The sequence below is a fragment of the Homo sapiens genome, chromosome 17 (genome assembly GCF_000001405.40).
Source record: "Homo sapiens chromosome 17, GRCh38.p14 Primary Assembly".
NCBI lineage: Eukaryota > Metazoa > Chordata > Mammalia > Primates > Hominidae > Homo > Homo sapiens.
In genome coordinates, this window is record NC_000017.11 from 63775449 (window position 1) to 63794406 (window position 18958).

The 18958-nt window shown below is 42.1% G+C and overlaps 1 protein-coding gene across 4 annotated transcripts in view; it reads left to right on the forward strand.

Annotated features, from left to right (window-relative positions):
* The window catches only part of DDX42 (DEAD-box helicase 42), a 45518-nt gene that overhangs the window by 1649 nt on the left and 24911 nt on the right, over positions 1-18958 (forward strand). For all 4 annotated transcript variants that reach the window (XM_047435282.1, XM_047435281.1, NM_203499.3 and 1 more), the window contains 2 exons: positions 11586-11822; positions 16964-17114. In XM_047435282.1, coding sequence (XP_047291238.1) covers positions 11602-11822; positions 16964-17114 — 372 coding nt within the window. In that variant the 5' untranslated portion in view covers positions 11586-11601. The remainder of the gene's footprint in view (positions 1-11585; positions 11823-16963; positions 17115-18958) is intronic.

Here is an 18958-nt window from a genome sequence, read left to right on the forward strand (position 1 = left end):
AGTATCTTAGGGAAAAGAAAGCTGGAAAGGGGGTTGGGGAGGTGGTGGTGTTGGAATTTGCAATAAAGTGGTCAGGGAAGTCCATACAGACAAGCTGATATTTAAGCGGACTAGAAGGTGGAGTGAGAGCCTACGTTTATCTGGGGAAAGGAACGTTCCAAGCTAGAGAATAACAAACATAAAAGCCTTGAGGAGGACAAAGCTGGCCCGTTAAGAGTGTGAAGACCAACGCGTTTGGAGCACTGTGAGCTGAGGGAGTATTAGGAGATAAGGTCAGGGAAGAATTGGGGGAAGGGAGTGAGCGGAACAACCAAAGCCTTTTAGGCTGTTACTTAGGAAGGATCTGAGGGTTTCGATCAGAGGAATGATAATATCTGATTTATATTGTAACAATTTAATATAAGAGAGGAGTGCAGTTATTTAAATTTGTTTTGTTACATTGATAGTCATATAATCAGCTCTTAGTTGCTTTAAGCTGACAGGAGAAGGGATGCTTCTAAAATAACCATAACCTAGCATTTACTTGTATTTGGTTTAGAAGAATGTGATTACGTTCTTGAGTTTTTATTTAGATTCTCATCAAAGAACTGACCTGTATATAGTGTGTGAGGTACTCTCAAAGTATATGTAGAGTAGATGCTAATCACTGTCACTAGAACTCTTCCTTCCACCTCCAAAAATACAAGTGATAAAGTAATGTGGCTTATATAATCAGTTGTTTTTAGTCCACTATATTTAAAGTCATTTAGATCATATCTTATTTTCCGCCATTGCCGAAAACACAAACTAGCTAAATTGTCTTCCTTTATAAGTGTGTTCCACATTTATTCTCACTTCCTAGCCTTTGCTAGTTCAGTCTTTCTCCCTGGAATGTCTTCGTCTGCACGTCTCTACCCAGCTTTCATCTTTCTGTGCCTAGCCTGGCTTCTGACTCTGTTATGACACTTGCCCTTGCTTGTTAGCTCATGGTGATCTCTGACATCTTCAGTGTTCTTGTGGCGCTTATGTATGAAATACCTGAGTTGAAAGAAGTCTGATAGTCTCAATTTACCGATGAAGAAATTGGTTCTTCAGAAATAATGTAATAATGAAAAACACGATGGTAGCTGACATATTGAACAAGTACATTTTTGTGTATGAACTTAATTTTTCACGCCAACTCTTGAGATAGGTGATAGTCTCATCTTTTTTTTTTTTTTTTGAGATGGTGTCTGGCTGTGTTGCCCAGGCTGGTCTTGAACTCCTGAGCTCAAGTAATCCGCCTGCCTCAGCCTCCCAGAGTGCTGGGATTACAGGCGTGAGCCACCACACACAGCCTCTTACCATTTTTTATAGATGAGGAAACTGAACCCAGAGAAGCTAAATAACTTCCCTGAGGTTCATATCAAGTTAGTAGCAAAGATAGTTTACACATAGCCTGTGCTACTTTACTATTCTGTTAAGATTTCCTAGGAAACCACCGTGTTTTATTTATTTTTTAGAGACTGTCTTGCTGTGTTGCCCAGGTTGGAGTGCAGTGGTCCAGTCAGCTCATTGTAACCTGGAACTCCTGGGTTCAAGCAATCCTCTTGCCTCAGCCTCCTGAGCAGCTAGGACTACAGGCGTGTGCCACCATGCCTGGCTAATTTTTTAAATTTTTTTGTAAAGACAGGGTTTTATTGTGTTGCCCAGGCTGGTCTCAAACTCGTGGCCTTAAGTGATCCTCCCACCTTGGCCTCCCAAAGGGCGAGGATTACAGGTGTGAGCCACCTTGCCCAGCCAGCCATAGGATTTAGTGCCTAGAACCATACCAAATAGGACTTGATGCCATCTTGACTGTTTCTCTTCAGCCTAGTTGTAGATCTCCTTTAGTCTTTTACATATTGAATAAATGAGTATCTAATATTGAAAACATGCTATAAGAGAAAAGTGAATAAGCCTGTTTCTTCAGCCATGAATCCTATAATACGGAGTTGGACTGGAAAGGGAGTTTGAGGAAGGAGATGCCATTTCTTTTTCTTTCTTTTTTTTTTTTTTTGAGACGGAGTCTCACTCTGTCGCCCAGGCTGGAGTGCAGTGGCGCGATCTTGGCTCACTGCAAGCTCCGTCTCCCGGGTTCAAGTGATTCTCCTGCCTCAGCCTCCGGAGTAGCTGGGACTACAGGTGCCCACCACCACGCCTGGCTAATTTTTTTGTATCTTTAATAGAGATGGGGTTTCAGCATGTTAGCCAGGATTGTCTCGATCTCCTGACTTCGTGATCCACCCGTCTCGGCCTCCCAAAGTGCTGAGATTACAGGCGTGAGCCACCGTGCCCAGCCAGGAGATGCCATTTCTTTGGGGATATCATATTCATGTCTTTAGGAGTTGGTATTTGAGATATGCTTTGAAGGATAGGACTTTGGTAGGTACTCACAGTTTATAGGAAAGAGATTTGATGTGAAGGGGATCCAGTTAGAGGGAAGAGGATTCACTAGAGTGCTTGTTTTCCTGGAAAACTGAGTACGTGTGGAGAGACCCTGGGAAATATGAATGGTAAAGTAGTTTGATGCCACAATGGAGGGTCTCATTCCAGCATGATTAACTGTGGAGAGCTATGGAATTGAGGAGAGTGACATAATCAGAAATGTGTGTTCTGGAAGAACCTGGAAAGGGTTTTCGATAAGCATCTGAATACTGACCTCCCTTCTGTGAGACTTTTTCTGGTTCCACGGTATTAACACACACTATGCTACTCTACCAAAGGAGGTAAAACTTGCTTTTCTCTTTTCACTGTGTGTCTCACTATTACTTCATCATTTTATGCTTTACTAAACAGAATCACTTCTCATAGACTATGGAAGATTTGCTGGTTTTAGATGAAGCATCTGGATGTACATCCACATTACTTTTCCAATAAAACAGACATTCTTGGGACAGTAGTCAGGGGAGGATTACCTGTCAAATGTCATTCATCTCAGAGAGGCCTTGCCTGACTTAAGTCTGCAATAGCTTGCCTCTTACCCTCTTGCTTGCTTTTCATAGCACTTTTGCTACCTGGAATTACATGATTTAGTTTTTCTTTCTCCTGGGCCAGACTGTGAACTCTGAGTATGGCTGCATCTGATTCCATTACTGTATCCTTAGCACCTTAGAGCAGTTACTGGCACAAAATAGGCACTCAGTATATTTTGACTTAGTGATCACTCTAGTAGTGCTGTGAGAGCTTGATAATAAAGTTTTTTTTTTTTTTAAGACAGCATCTCGCTCTGTTATCCAGGCTGGAGTGCAGTGGCACGATCTCGGCTCACTGCAGCCTCCGTGTCCTGGGTTCAAGAGATTCTCCTGCCTCAGCCTCCTAAGTAGCTGGAACTATGGGTGCGCGCCATCACGCCTGGCTAATTTTTGTATTTTTAGTAGAGATGGGGTTTCACCATGTTGGCCAGGATGGTCTTGATCTCCTGACCTTGTGATCCGTCCACCTCGGCCTCCCAATAATCAGAAATTTTTTTTTAGGAAATAATTGCAATAGTGGAGGTGGAGATGGAAAGGCGGGTATACGTGAGGGATGTCCCTCATAGTACTGGGCACATAACAAAATCATCAGTGGTTATTGGTCAGTATAAAACAATGGATGTTATTACTAAGAACCACTTAGGGTTGTTCTTTTTTAAACAAATACTCATTAAACTTTGTTTATGGCTCTATTCAGCTAATTCTTTTCAAATTAGGTATTTCAAAAGGGTTCTTTTTTAAATTTTTATTTTTTGGCACCCCAGCAGGAAATGAAGAAATCTTTTTTAAGAGAAAAAATACAAAAATGCAGTTGAATTTCCCCAAGTGTGTTTTTTTTGTTTGTTTTGGTTTTGTTTTTTTGAGACGCAGTCTCACTCTGTCACCCAGGCTGGAGTGCATTGGCATGATCTCGGCCCACTGCAACCTCCGACTCCTGGGTTCAGGCCATCCTCCCACCTCAACCTCCCGAGTAGCTGGGGCTACAGGTGCACACCACCACACCTGGGTAATTTTTGTATTTTTTGTAGAAATCAGGTCTTTCATTGTTGTCCAGGCTGACCTCTAACTCCTGAGCTCGAGCCATCCTCCTGCCTTGGCTTCCCAAAGTGCTGGGACTGCAGTTGTGAGCCACTGTGCCCACCTCATTTTGTTTTCTTCTTTTGGTACTATCACCACAATCTAGCCACAGGACACTTTTCATCTTGTAAAACTGAAATTCTGTACCCATTAAACAATAACACCCTATTCTCCCCTCCTCGCAGCCCCTGGCAACCACTCTTCTACTCTGTGTCTCTGAGTTTGACTATTCTAGGTATCTCTTTTTTTTTTCTTTTTGTTTTCTTTGTAGAGATGGGGTCTCGCTGTGTTGCCCAGGCTGGTCTCAAACTCCTGGCCTCAAGCCATCCTCCTGCTTCCCAGAGTACTGGGAATATAGGCGTAAGCCACTGCATCTGCCTCTTTTATTTTTTTAGTAACCAAATAGAAATTTGGGTGGCTATCTTTTGCTTCTTCTGTCAGCTATACTCCCACAAATCTCTGTGATTGTCAAGGTTCAGTAACCATATACACTACATGGTTTAATAGTAGGAAAAACTGCCGGGCACGGTGGCTCACGCCTGTAATCCCAGCACTTTGGGAGGCCAAGGCAGGCAGATCACCGGCGGTCGGGAGTTTGAGACCAGCCTGACCAACATGGAGAAACCCCATCTCTCCTAAAAATACAAAATTAGCCAGGCGTGGTGGCACATGCCTGTAATTCCAGCTACTTGGGAGGCTGAGGCAGGAGAATCACTTCAACCTGGGAGGCGGAGGTTGTGGTGAGCTGAGATTGCGCCATTGCACTCCAGCCTGGGCAACAAGAGCGAAACTGTCTCAAAAAAACAAAAAAAAAAAAAAGTAGGAAAAACTGTTGTCAAGAGACTTAAGTAATGATCCATTGAGGATGATCTGGCTTAGATTTAATCAGGAAGGGTGGTTAGCTAGATAACAAGGTTTGTAGTAATAAAATAGAGTTTTCATAAATACTGGGATGAATTTTGGAGAGCCTGAATACATTACATTTATTCATACAGCAAAATTTTTTGAGTACTATGCAGACACCAAGGATATAGTGCTGGACAAATTGAGTCAAGTCTATGCCCTCATAGAGCTAACATTCTACTCAGGGTATATAGAAAGCACAGTTCCTTGGCCTTCCTAGAGTCAGTAATTGAGGGACAATGAGCTGTGTGTTCTAGATGAGCTAGGGAAAGGATCGCTTTTCCAACTTGCTAAGTCTTGAGAGCCAGTAAGCAACCCTCACCTGCCCAAGGTCTCACTGCCTGCCTGTTTGTGGCAGGAGTTGATTTGCTGCTTTTGTAATATGAACCTTTTGATTATTTAATAGGGCTGATTCATAGTCATGTTTGTTCTTTTCACTCCTTCCCTCTAGCTTTGGGGGAAGAGTGAGTTACTCCTGTTGTTAAAAGTTTTGATTGTGTCTGGTCTTCTCTGGAAATCCTATGACTTTTTTCTGTCATTTTGCATCTTCAGTTTTTCAGACTTTACTGGTTTTTCCCCTTTAGCATATAAACATGCCTATGTTTCTTTAAAAAATAAAATTTCTGTAGGTAATGCTTCACTTTCTCCTTCCTATCATTGATAAACAGCCTACAAAGTACTCTTGACTCCTCTTGACCTAGTCTTCATCTTCTACTACTTACTTGCCAGGTACTCCTCAACCCTGTCCCTACTGCTCCATTGAAACTGCTTTCACTGATGACTCCTGGTTGCCTATACAACAGAAGAATTTTAGTTCTTTTTGTTTTGTTTTTTTGAGACAGAGTCTCGCACTCTCGCCCAGGCTGGAGTGTAGTAGCCGGATCTTGGCTCACCGCAAGCTCTACCTCCCAGGTTCATGCCTTTCTCCTGCCTCAGCCTCCTGAGTAGCCGGAACTACAGGTGCCCGCCACCACGTCCGGCTAATTTTTTGTATTTTTAGTAGAGATGGGGTTTCACCGTGTTAGCCAGGATGGTCTTGATCTCCTGACCTTGTGATCCGCCTGCCTTGGCCTCCCAAAGTGCTGGGATTACAGGCGTGAGCCACCGTGCCTGGCACATTTTAGTTCTTAACTTACCTAACTTCTCTTTAGTTTTCTGCCTATAGAGCTTCTTTCTCCTCACCCGTGTTCCTCCTTGTCTCCCCTTCCTTCTTTCCCCCTCTTCTTTCTTTCCCTTCCCCAATCCCTGTTCCATCTGAAGTTTCCATGTAAGCTTCTCTTTTTCTGCCCATTCCTAAATAGTGATATATGTTAAGAATTGTCTTACTGGGCCGGATGTGGTGGCTCACGCCTGTAATCCTAGCACTTTGGGAGGCCGAGGCAGGTGGATCACGAGGCCAGGAGATCGAGACCATCCTGGCTAACATGGTGAAACCCCGTCTCTACTAAAAATACAAAAAATTAGCCGGGCCTGGTGGCAGGTGCCTGTAGTCCCAGCTACTGGGGAGGCTGAGGCAGGAGAATGGTGTGAACCCGGGAGGCAGAGCTTGCAGTGAGCCGAGATTGTGCCACTGCACTCCAGCCTGGGCGACAGAGTGAGACTCCGTCTCAAAAAATAAAAATAAAAAAAGAATTGTCTTACCAGCTGGGCGCAGTGGATCACGAGGTCAGGAGTTTGAGACCAGCCTGGCCAACATGGTGAAACCTGTCTCTACTAAAAATACAAAAATTAGCTGGGCACGGTGGTGCGTGCTTGTAATCCCAGCTACTCGGGAGGCTGAGGCAGGAGAATTGCTTGAACTCAGGAGGCGGAGGTTGCAGTGAGCCAAGATCATGCCATTGCCCTCCAGCTCTGGGCGACAGAGCAAGACTCCGTCTTGGGGAGAAAAGAAAGAATTGTCTTACTTCTTTTCTCACTCTGCATGGTCTCTCTGCTAGCTTATTTACATCAGTAACCTCAAATGCAAATGGCTTACATCAAATCTATAGCTCACTCCGGACCCCTCTCTGCAGTTACTGCCCCTGCTTGGCATCTCTACTCAGCTCTCTCATAGATACTGAACTCACCTTTTGCCTAATTTTGCAAACCTGGCTCTTTTAGGTTTCCATCTCCATTAGTGGCTCCACAGTTCACCCAGTCTTTAAAGCCAGAAACTTCTGAAGTTATTCTAGACTCTTCTTCCTTAGCTTCCACACCAATTACTGGTCACACAATCCTAATTGATCTTTCCTCAGATATCTAAATAAATAACTCAGATCCATCCCCCGTTTCTCCTTTCCCACAGGTGCTTTCTTAGTTCAGAATTTTGTCGCTTTATACCTGCGTTGCTGCAACAGCCTTCTACTTTCCTTGCCTCTACCATGAGTATCTCTCATTCTGTCTTTCAAAAACACTGATCTGAAAATTTCCCTTCTGTGTAAAATTAACGATTCTTTGTAGCTGGCAGAATACAGTTTTGTATGGTACGTCGTTAGCATAGCCTTCTAAGCTGTTCATCTTGGCCCTACCTGTCTTTCTGAACATGTGTCCTGCAAATTTCCCAAATGTGCTACTGAACTCTAGCTGCACTGAACTATTTCTTGTTCTCTGTGGTAACACTTAACAGATCCTTCCATCTGAAATGCCCTTCTTTAATGCCTCTTTGATCTAATGCCTCTTGAGGTTTCAAAATTTAACATGTCATCTCTCAGAACACTTCTATGCCTTTGCTCCCACTCATGGACCACCAGTGAATGCACTCTGTATAGTACGTCTGTTAGAACGCATCATGTTGTTTTCAGCTGCCTCAGACTGCACTGTCTACTCCTTGAGAACAGGGACTGTATCTTTCATGTATGAATGCCTAGCACATCATATACCACCTGACCTTCTCAGCAAGCTTTCAGTAAACCATTGAAAGTTTTCCTGCTAGGAGATTGTGTGATTCTTAAAATCCACCTGAACGTAAATGTCTTTCCACTATCCTTTCTTTGCCTTCTCATCCTTATGGCTTATTAGCTCCTTGTTATACATTGTATACACTAGGAAAAATGAGATTAAAATTGAGCCCATCCTTTTTGTTGCTTGGGAACACCTCTTGTAAAGATAGCTTATAGATTAGTTTAAAAACGTCAGATGCTGAAATTTTCTTGCTTGTAAAGATTCTTACTAAATTTCATCACACTGGAATTACGTTGATTCCTTGATTGAAGGAATCCCCTTATGGGATTCCGAAAGACAGCAGGAGATGAAGTTCAGGTAAATTAGTACTTACTAAATACATACCTTAGTCATTCTCACTGTTAGAGAAGGAAGTCCAAAATGAGTAAAGACAGTTTCTATCTGGAGTTAAGGGTCTAAGTAGAGATTGATGTAGTGTAATTCAAGTTTAATACTAAGCAGCCTGGGTGCCGTGGCTCACACCTGTAATCCCAGCACTTCGGGAGGCCAAGGTGGTTGGATTGATTGAGGTCGGGAGTACAAGACCAGCCTGCCTAACATAACGAAACCCCATCTCTACTAAAAATACAAAAAATTAGCTGAGCCTGGTGGCACACGCCTGTAATCCCAGCTACTCGGGAGGCTGAGACAGGATAATCACTTGAACCATGGAGGCAGAGGTTGCAGTGAGCTAAGATTGTACCACTGCACTCCAGCCTGGGAGGCAGAGTGAAACTCTGTCTCCCAAAAAAACAAACAGACAAACAAAAACCTTAAAACTAAGCAAACAACTAAGTGCTGTGTATAATAGCAGTTGAACAAAACCTATGAAGTATATATAGACAAGGGGTATAGAACAGTGCATGTTTCTGATCTCTTCGACAATGTTACTATAATAAACAGTTTTTGGAATTTTTTTCCACCCTGGCTTCAAAGCTAGTGGAAATTAAAATTAAAGTAAACATTTTAATTTTTCTTACTAATGGTAAACAAAATAAAAATCAAATAGCTGCTGTTAACATTTTGATAAACAGCCTGTCAGCTGTCTCTGTATATATAACTCATGGTTTTTACATAAATTAAATCATACTACCCACCTTGTTTTATGCCCTTATTTTACTCAATGTGTAATGGATACTTTTTCATAAATGTAAGTAGTAGTTAAAATTTTTAGGCCAGGCAAGGTGGTGTGAGTCATGTCTGTTAATTCCAGCACTTTGGGAGACTGAGGTGGGAGGACTGGTTGAGGCCAGGATTTCGAGACCAGCCTAGGCAACATAGTGAGACCACAAAAAATTAAAATAAAAACCCAGGCATGGTGGCTCATGTTTGTAGTTCCAGCTACTCAGGAGGCTGAGGTGGGAGGATCACTTGAGCCCAGGAGTTCATGGCTGCAGTGAGCTGCAATCAGACCACTGTAATGCAGCCTGGGTGACAGCAAGAACTTGTCTTAAAAAAAGATTTTTTTTTTTAACTCAGAATGCATTTTCCTTTGAGCAGTTGCATTTTAAAACTTGTTCCTAAGGAAATAATTGAAGGTATGCACAAAGATGTAGCTATAATGATGTGTTTTGCAACATTGTGTTACCAGTATTATACTGTCAAGTAGTGAAGAAATAGATATCTATTGACATTAAACAATATCACAGTATATCATTAGGTGAAGAAATCACTAAGACAATATGTACAGTATGGTTTCAATTTTTAATTTGTGTGTATATACACATATGCATACAAGTAGCAAAAAATAGAACAAAACTACATATCTGGGAGAGGAAATTTCAGGTAGTTTTAAATTTTGTTCTTTTTTGCTTTCTGCTTTTCTGTAAAACTTAGGTAAGTTGTATCATTAAAAAGGGTTTTGGGGGGCCAGGTGCAGGGGCTCATGCCTGTAATCCCAGCACTTTGGGAGGCTGAGGTGGGTGGATCACTTGAGGCCAGGAGTTCCAGACCAGCCCATCTCTACTAAAAATACAAAATATTAGCTGGATGTGGTGGTGCACACTTGTAATCCCAGCTACCCAGGAGGCTGAGGCATGAGAATCACTTGAACCCAGGCGACAGAGGTTGCAGCAAGCCGAGATTGGGCCACTGCACTCCAGCCTGGGTGACAGATCAAGGCTCTGTCTCAAAAAACAAAAAACAAAAAAATTTTTTTTGGGCCAGGTGCAGTGGCTCATGCCTGTAATCCCAGCACTTAGGGAGGCAGATGTGAGAGGGGGGGGTCTCTTGAGGCTAGAAGTTTGAGACCAGCCTGGACAACATCACAAGACCCTGTTCCTTAAAAAAAAAAAAAAAAGAAAGAAAAGGTTTTTGGAGCCAAGACTAATGTAAGGTATTGTTTGTAAATTGATTTTATGAATGCACAAGAAATTTCTTTGTAACTCTTAACCACAGGCTAACTGAATACTTCAGGCAACATGTCAGTGAATCATAGTTTCTTCCTGGATAGTGTTTCTATTGGGCAGTTGTTCAATAAATACATGGTTCATAGTACCTTTCCTGCAGACATGAATACATAGATACTGTCTACAAACAACTGATCTTTTAAGTTTTGATTCTTTGATTCTTCCAGATGTCATTACCAGAGGATAACCTCTAGTTTTCGGAGAGTCTTGGCTGATAGCAGCTCAGTCTTTCATATAAGGATGAAGATATTTAGTCTTTTCATATCTCCAGTGGCCTTGCACATATCAGATTCCCCAAAATATTTCTTTTTATGAGTATTTTTGTCAGCTTAATAAGATGTTAATTAGCAGGCAAATCCTTTTGGAGGGGATGATATTAAATACTGCATTCTGGTTTATACTGAGATCCCAATAAAATTAAAACAATTTCTTCAGTGTTTTAGAAAATATAATCATTTGTTGAGGCTAGCATGGTGTGTATCTGAAATACAATGTCAACTTTTGTGGGTTTTGTTTTTGTTTTTTTAAGAGACAGGATTTCACTATGTTGCCCAGGCTGGAATACAGTGGCTATTCACAGGCAGGATCATAGCACACTGTAACCTTGAACTCCTGGGCTCAAGCAGTTTACCTGCCTCAGCCTCCTGAATAGCTGGGCTGGAAATGAATCTCTTAATGAGATGGATTTTCTTTTCTTGTCTTTTCTTTTTTAATGTAAAAAGAGACAATCTCTGTCACCCAGGCTTGAGTGCAGTGGCGTGATCATAGCTCAGTGTAATCTGGAACTCCTGGGTTCAAGTAGTCTTCCTGCCTAAGCCTCCCAAGTAGTTGGCATTACTGGCCTGGGCCACTCTCCTGACTACAGTGTTATAGTTTTAATTGAGAAGCTAAAATTTAAAATAAAATTTTAGGTGGAGGTTGGAAGAGACATACAACTCAGTGGGGCTATATACTTCTTTTTTGTTTTTGAGACGGAGTCTCGCTGTGTCGCCCAGGCTGGAGTGCAGTGGCACGATCTCAGCTCACTGCAACCTCCGCCTCTCAGATTCAAGTGATTCTTATGCCTCAGCCTCCCAAGTAGCTGGGACCACAGGCATGTGCCACCACGCCCGGCCAATTTTTGTATTTTTAGTAGAGAAGGGTTTTCACCATATTGGCCAGGCTGGTCTTGAACTCCTGACCTCATGGTCCACCTGCCTTGGCCTCCCAAAGTGCTGGGATTACAGGCGTGACCCACCGCGCCCGGCCCTTGGGGCTATACACTTTTTTAAGTTTAATTTATATTTGTGTATCTTATTCCTAACAGGTCAGTCATTGGCACCATGAACTGGAATAAAGGTGGTCCTGGCACTAAGCGAGGATTTGGCTTTGGAGGTTTTGCCATCAGTGCTGGGAAAAAGGAGGAACCCAAACTCCCACAGCAGTCCCACAGTGCCTTTGGGGCAACCAGCTCTTCTTCTGGATTTGGAAAGTCAGCTCCACCACAGCTTCCTTCTTTCTACAAAATTGGATCTAAGCGGGCCAACTTTGATGAAGAAAATGCGTAAGTGGTAATTCCTGGTAGTGTAGCAAAGTTTGGACTTTGATATATTCATTCTATCAGCAGAAATTGAGGCAAAGAAACTTTGTTTCTCAAATAATAATGAATTCTTAAATTATGTGTCTCGCTGAATTCCATTGTTCCTAATAAGTTAAATTATCAGGTTTACTCATTTGTAAGGAATGTAATACCTGTGGTGTTACTTATACCTTTACTCATTCAGTGTTACGTCCTACTGGGCTGTTGCTCACTGTGGGATTAGAAGCCATTGAAACAGGCTGGGCGTGGTAGCTGGGCGTGGTGGCTCACACCTGTAATCCCAGCACTCTGGGAGGCCGAGACGGATGGATCATCTGACGTCAGGAGTTTGAGAACAGCCTGGCCAATATGGTGAAACCCTGTCTACTAAAAATACAAAACATTAGCCAGGCGTGGTGGTGCACGCCTATAATCCCAACTACTCAGGAGGAGGCTGAGGCAGGAGAATCGCTTGAACCCGGGAGGCACAGGTTGCAGTGAGCCAAGATGGTGCCATTGCACTCCAACCTGGGCGACAGAGCAAGACTCCCATCTCAGAAAAAAACCAAAAAGCCATTGAAACATAAATATGGCTGAAGAGTTTTATATAATTCATGTGGTTTTTTTTTTTTTTTTTGGAGGCAGAGTTTTGCTCGTCACCCAGGCTGGAGTATAATGGTGCAATCTCGGTTCACCGCAACTTCAACCTCTCGAGTTCAAGTGATTCTCCAGCCTCACCCTCCTGTGTAGGTGGGATTACAGGCATGCACCACCATGCTGGGCTAATTTTTGTATTATTAGTAGAGATGGGGTTTCACCATGTTGGCCAGGCTGGTCTCAAACTCCTGACCTCAGGTGAACTGCCCGCCTTGGCCTCCCAAAGTGCTGGGATTACATGCATGAGCTACTGCACCTGGCCTGGTGGTCTTTACTGCAGTCTTTTACTGACACCATATAAATTGTTTAGTAAACACAGGCCGTTGTCAGAACTGATGGAAATACAAGTTTGCTTCAACATCTGAGTCTTTTTTTTTTTTTTTTTTGAGATGGAGTCTCTCTCACCCAGGCTGGAATGCAGTAGCGCGATCTTGGCTCACTGCAACCTCCGCCTCCCAGGTTCAAGTGATTCTCCTGCCTCAGCCTCCCAAGTAACTAGGACTACAGGCACGTGCCACCATGCCCAGCTAATTTTTTGTATTTTTAGTACAGACGGGGTTTCACCGTGTTAGCCACAATGGTCTCAATCTCCTGACCTCATGATCCGCCCGCCTCAGCCTCCCAAACTGCTAGGATTATACAGGCGTGAGCCACTGGGCCCGGGCTACATCTAAGTCTTCAAAACTAGTATGTTGGAACGTCTGATAGTGGTAGAAAAATCTACTCACATTTTTCCCATAGTTCTCATAATTGGTAAATGCTTTTTACCAATTACCGTTTTTAACTTGCTGATATAATAATGTGGTTAGAAAAGGCTGGGATTTAAGGGGTTGAGTTCTAATTTCTATACAAAATATCTCTCTTTGCTGAATCTGAAGAAATCTCTTGTTGCTATTATTTCCAAGCTGATTGTGACACTGCTTCACTGCTTGAGGTTTTTTTTGTTTTGTTTTGTTTTTGTTGTTGTTTTGAGATAGGGTCTCACTCTGTCACCCAGGCTGGAGTGGAGTGGTGCGATCAAGGCTCACTGCAGTCTCGACCTCCCAGGCTAAAGCAGTTAAGCAGTTCTCCCACCTCAGCCTCCTGAGTAGCTAGGACCATAGGCACATGCCACCATACCCTGCTAATTTTTTATTCTTTTTTTTTTCTTTTTTGAGATGGAGTCTCACTGTCTCACCCAGGCTAGAGTGCAGTGGCGTGATCTAGGCTCACAGCAACCTCCACTTCCTGGGTTCAAGTGATTCTCACGCCTCAGCCTCCCATGTAGCTGGGATTACAGGTGCCTGCCACCACACCCAGCTGATTTTTGTATTTTTAGTAGAAACGCGGTTTCACCAGGTTGGCCAGGCTGGCCTCGAACTCCTGACCTCAGGTGATCCACCCGCCTCAGCCTCCCAAAATGCTGGAATTAAAGGCCTGAGCCACCATGCCTGGCCAATTTTTTATTCTTTTGTAGAGACAGGGTCTTGCTTTGTTGCCCGGGCTGGTCTGAAACTCCTGGGCTCAAGTGATCCTCCCGCCTTGGCCTCCCAAAGTGCTGGGATTATAGGCGTGAGCTACTGCACCCAGCAGATGTTAATTGGAAAAAAAAGCTTCTAAAAGACTTTTTTGTTTTTGTTTTTGTTTTTGTTTTTTTTTTTTTTTTTTTGAGACAGAGTTTCGCTCTTGTTGCCCAGGCTGGAGTGCAGTGGCGTGATCTAGGCTCACAGCAACCTCTGCCTCCTGGGTTCAAGCAATTCTCCTGTCTCAGCCTCCTTAGTAGCTGGGATTACAGACATGTGCCACCACGCCTGGCTAATTTTGTATTTTTAGTAGAGACAGGGATTCTCCGTGTTGGCCAGGCTGGTTTCAAACTCGTAACCTCAGGTGATCTGCCTGCCTCGGCCTCCCAAAGTGCTGGGATTACAAGCATGAGCCACTGCACCTGGCCAAAATATTTTGAAAGTACACAGTAATATTTTAGAAAGCTGACATGTTATTTAGGAGTCAAATATACAAGTAGTGTTTAAGTTTTAGCAAAGTCAGAGATCATTATTCTAAACAGCAGTTAACCAGTTCAGGCTACTTTTTCATTAGTTAAATAGAACACACTATATACAGGAGGCAGAGGTGGAAAGACTGCTTGAGCCCAGGAGTCTGAGCTGCAGATAGCTATGTTTGCATCACTGCACATCAGCCTGTATGTCAGAGTGAGACTCTGTCTCTAAAAAAACAAACAAAAAACTAAAAACCTACTATATGAATGAATATGCATGAGTAAATATGTGTATATATGTATGCTATATATTGCATATATATTGCATCGTATAGTATATAGCGTGAGTATGCTATTGCTACATTAGTATACATAACAGTTACTATATAAAGGAGTTGGCATAAGCATATAGACTATATATTTTAGGCCAGGCACAATCGCTCACGTCTGTAATCCCAGCACTTTGGGAGGCCGAGGTGGGTGTATCACTTGAGGTCAGAAGTTTGAGACCAGCCTGGACAACATGGTGAAACCCCGTCTCTACTAAAAATACAAAAATTGGTCTGGGCATGGTGGCTCAAACCTGTAATCCCAGCACTTTGGAAGGCCGAGGCGGGCGGATCGCCTGAAGTCAGGAGTTAGAGACCAGCCTGGACAACGTGGCAAAACCCCATCTCTACTAAAAATACAAAAATTAGCTGGGTGTGGTGGCGGCGCATATAATCCCAGCTACTTGGGAGGCTGAGGCAGGAGAATCACTGGAACCTGGGAGGCAGAGGCTGCACTGAGTTGAGATCGTGCCACTGCACTCCAGCCTGGGCGACAGAGCAAGACTCCATCTCAAAAACAAAAAGACCACAAAAATTAACTGGGTGCAGTGGCGTGCACCTGTAATGCCAGCTATTTGGGAGACTGAGGCAGGAGAATTGCTTGAACCTGGGTGGTGGAGGTTGCAGTGAGCACAGAGATCACGCCGCTGCACTGCAGCCTGGGCGACAGGGCGAGGCTGTCTCAAAAACAAAAAAGCATATATACTATATAGTTTAGCCTATATTATTGTTACATATAGTCAGTGTTACATTAGTGTGTATATATATGTATGCATGTGTGTATATAGCATAACAGTTAAAGCTTTTAAAATAATTCCTAGGAAGACTTGAAATGCTTTAACTTTTTAAACTGCAGTTATTTATTTAAATTAATATTTGGTTATATTACTATTTGAGTTTGAGATTAAAGTCTAAACAGTGGTTTAGTTTATAAAGAGCTGTATTGACATCCTTTTCTGAAATGTTTGTTAAAGAGAAAGTGATACCTTATCCAGCCTTTGAAGATGTCCTTTCTGAATACTTAAGTAGTATCTTAAATTATTTTGGATTGAGCATTTATTTTCTTGCTTTTTTCCTCGTTTTTTGAGAGAGTCTTGCTCTGTCACCCAGGCTGGAGTGCAGTGGCACAATCTCAGTTCACTGCAACCTCCACCTCCTGGGTTCAAGCAGTTCTCTTGCCTCAGCCTCCCGAGTAGCTGGGATTACGGGCATGTGCAACCATGCCTGGCTAATTTTGTATTTTTAGTAGACACAGGGTTTCACCATGTTGGCTGGGCTGGTCTCAAACTCTTGACATCAAGTGATGCACCTGTCTCGGCCTCCCAAAGTGCTGGGATTAGAGGTGTGAGCCACCACGCCTGGCCTGAACATTTATTTTCAATTCCGGAAGTTTTCTGTTGGTCCCCAGAAAATAGCCCAGAATTTCTGAGGTTTTTGGTCTTAAAAGAATATCTCAAGTTTTTATTAAGGGTTATAAAGAATAAACTGGATTTCTAATGTTTCAGTAAGTTTCCTTTTGGCTGTGCACAGTGGCTCTCGCCTGTAATCTCAGTACTTTGGAGGCTGAGGAGGGCAGATCACGTAAGGTAAGGAGTTCGAGACCAGCCTGGCCAACATGGTGAAACCCCTGTCTCTACTAAAAATACAAAAATTAGCCAGGCATGGTGGCAGGTGCCTGTGATCCCAGCTACTAGGGAGGGCAAGGCAGGAGAATAGCTTGAACCCAGAAGGCGGGGGTTGCAGGGAGCCCAGATTGTGCCACTGCACTCCAGCCTGGGCGATGAGGAAAACCCCGTCTCAAAAAAAAAAAAAAGTTTTCTTTTTTCCCATAGCACAGCTCTTTAATATTTGTCATATTTATCTAACAATGGTCAGTAAGTTTGTACTGAAAACTCTTCCCTTTTAACAGAACTGGGAGCATGATTTGACTATACACTATTGAAATGGAGAATCTCTTGTGATTACTTTTTTGTAATATTGAAATTTTGCATGTATTAAGTAGTACTTAATAATTAGGTCATTAGCCAAAGCCTTGGAGGTCTCTAATTTGATCTGCATTACATCTCCTAATAATAAGATATACCATAATAAAAATGTTGTTAAATGAAAGATTTACTGACCCCAAAGTAAGCATTCACTTTACCAGTTTGCTTTCTAATTCTCAGCTATTTTGAAGATGAGGAAGAAGATTCTAGCAACGTTGATTTACCTTACATTCCTGCTGAAAACTCACCAACTCGCCAGCAATTCCATTCCAAGCCAGTAGATTCTGACAGCGATGATGATCCCTTGGAGGCATTCATGGCTGAAGTGGAGGCAAGTATCAACATGTTTCATTAAAATATTTAGCAGTTAGAAATAGATCAAGTTAACTTAGTACTTCAAATCTTATTCAAAATTTGTTTTCTAGTCTTATTATTTTTTTTTTTTTGAGAATTTTGCTCCAGTAGTCTATAGTTGCATATATCTACTTCCACTTGCCCTGTAGTACTTTTGCAATGATTGGTGGCTAGAAATTTGAACTGTAACCCATGAACATGGTAGCTCTAGACGTATATGTGTGTATGTATTTTATTTTAATAATCTTAGCATATTCTTAAATGGAATTAATATTCAATCTAGCATTTGTTAAGTACATATTTATGTAAGGTAATTAAACTTAAGGAACTTGCCAAAATTATAAATTCTGTATTCTGTAGTTTTAAATGTTATTTCTTCATCAACATTCATGACCTCCCTGTAGAAATTTAACCTCATGACCACCTCCTTGAAACTCTTCTCACTAGGCTTTTGTGATTTTGTGTTATTTTCCTTTTTCATCTTTCTGTTTTCTGTTTGTTTTTGTTTTCTTGCTATTTTTATTGTGGAAAAATTTAAACACATACAAAGATAGAATAATAAAATGAACCTTCATGTACCTTTAACCAACTTTATTAGTTAACAACTTTTGGCCACTCTTGTTTTATCCAATCTCTCCCACCTCTGATTCTTTCTTTTCCTTTCTCTTTTTTTTTTTCTTTCTTTCTTTTATTTTTTTGAGACAAAGTCTTGCTCTGATGTGGGCTGGCTAGAGTGTAGTAGTATGATCATGGCTCACTGCAGCCTCAAACTCCTGGGCTCAAATGATCCTCCTGCCTCAGCCTCCTGAATAGCTGAGATTGCAGGTGTGCACCACCATACCCAGCTAATTTTTAAAGTTTTTATAGAGGTGAGGTCTTGCTTTGTTAACCAGGCTGGTTTTGAACTTCTAGCCTCAAGTGATCCTCTAGCCTCAGCCTCCCAAAGCGCTTGGACCACAGGCATAAGCCACTGTGCCCAATCCAATTCTGTTTTGGATTATTTTAAAATCTCAGACATATAATTTTATCCATCAGTATTTCTCTGAGAACACTCTTACAAATTACAACCACCATGTTATTGTCGCACCCAAAAAACAAATCATTAAATATCCATCTGTTATTTGTGATCCTTCTTGCCATCTTCCTCCAATTTTTCACATACAGAGGTCCTTTTACAGCTCTCTATATTGATTATTATATAGCAGATCATTAAGAATGTTCATTATTTAATTTAATCCTCAAAATAATGGTGGGAAATAGGCAGAAAAATTTATATATATATATATATATATATAATTTTTTAACTGATAACAAAACCGAGACCCAAGATAATTCAAATCACTTGCCCCAAATCATATTGGTACTTAATGTGGCAGACCTGGAACTCAAATCTAATTTCGCTTGCTTAGTAGTCCTGAAGGTCTAGCTGTTTCCCATACATCATGCTGCCTTTCCTCTTCTCATTGGCCAAAATCTGTCAATCTTTATAATAGCCCTTGCATTTGTTCTTTCCTTTCTGTTGCCATTGTAGCCATCCTACTTTACACTCTCGTAAATTCTCTCCCTGCTTTAGGCTCTCTGCTGTCTTATTAGGTAGTATACAGCTACAGGTTAATTAGACCAAAATATGTTTCTTTTCATGTTATTCTCCATACTTAAAAACTGTCACTTTAGATGGCTGGACATGGTGGCTCATACCTATAATCCCAGCATTTCGGGAGGCTGAGGCAGGAGGATCCCTCGAGTCTAGGAGTTCAAGATCAGCCTAGGCAGCATAGCGAGTCCCTGTCTCTACAAAAAATAAAATTTAGCCAGGCGTGG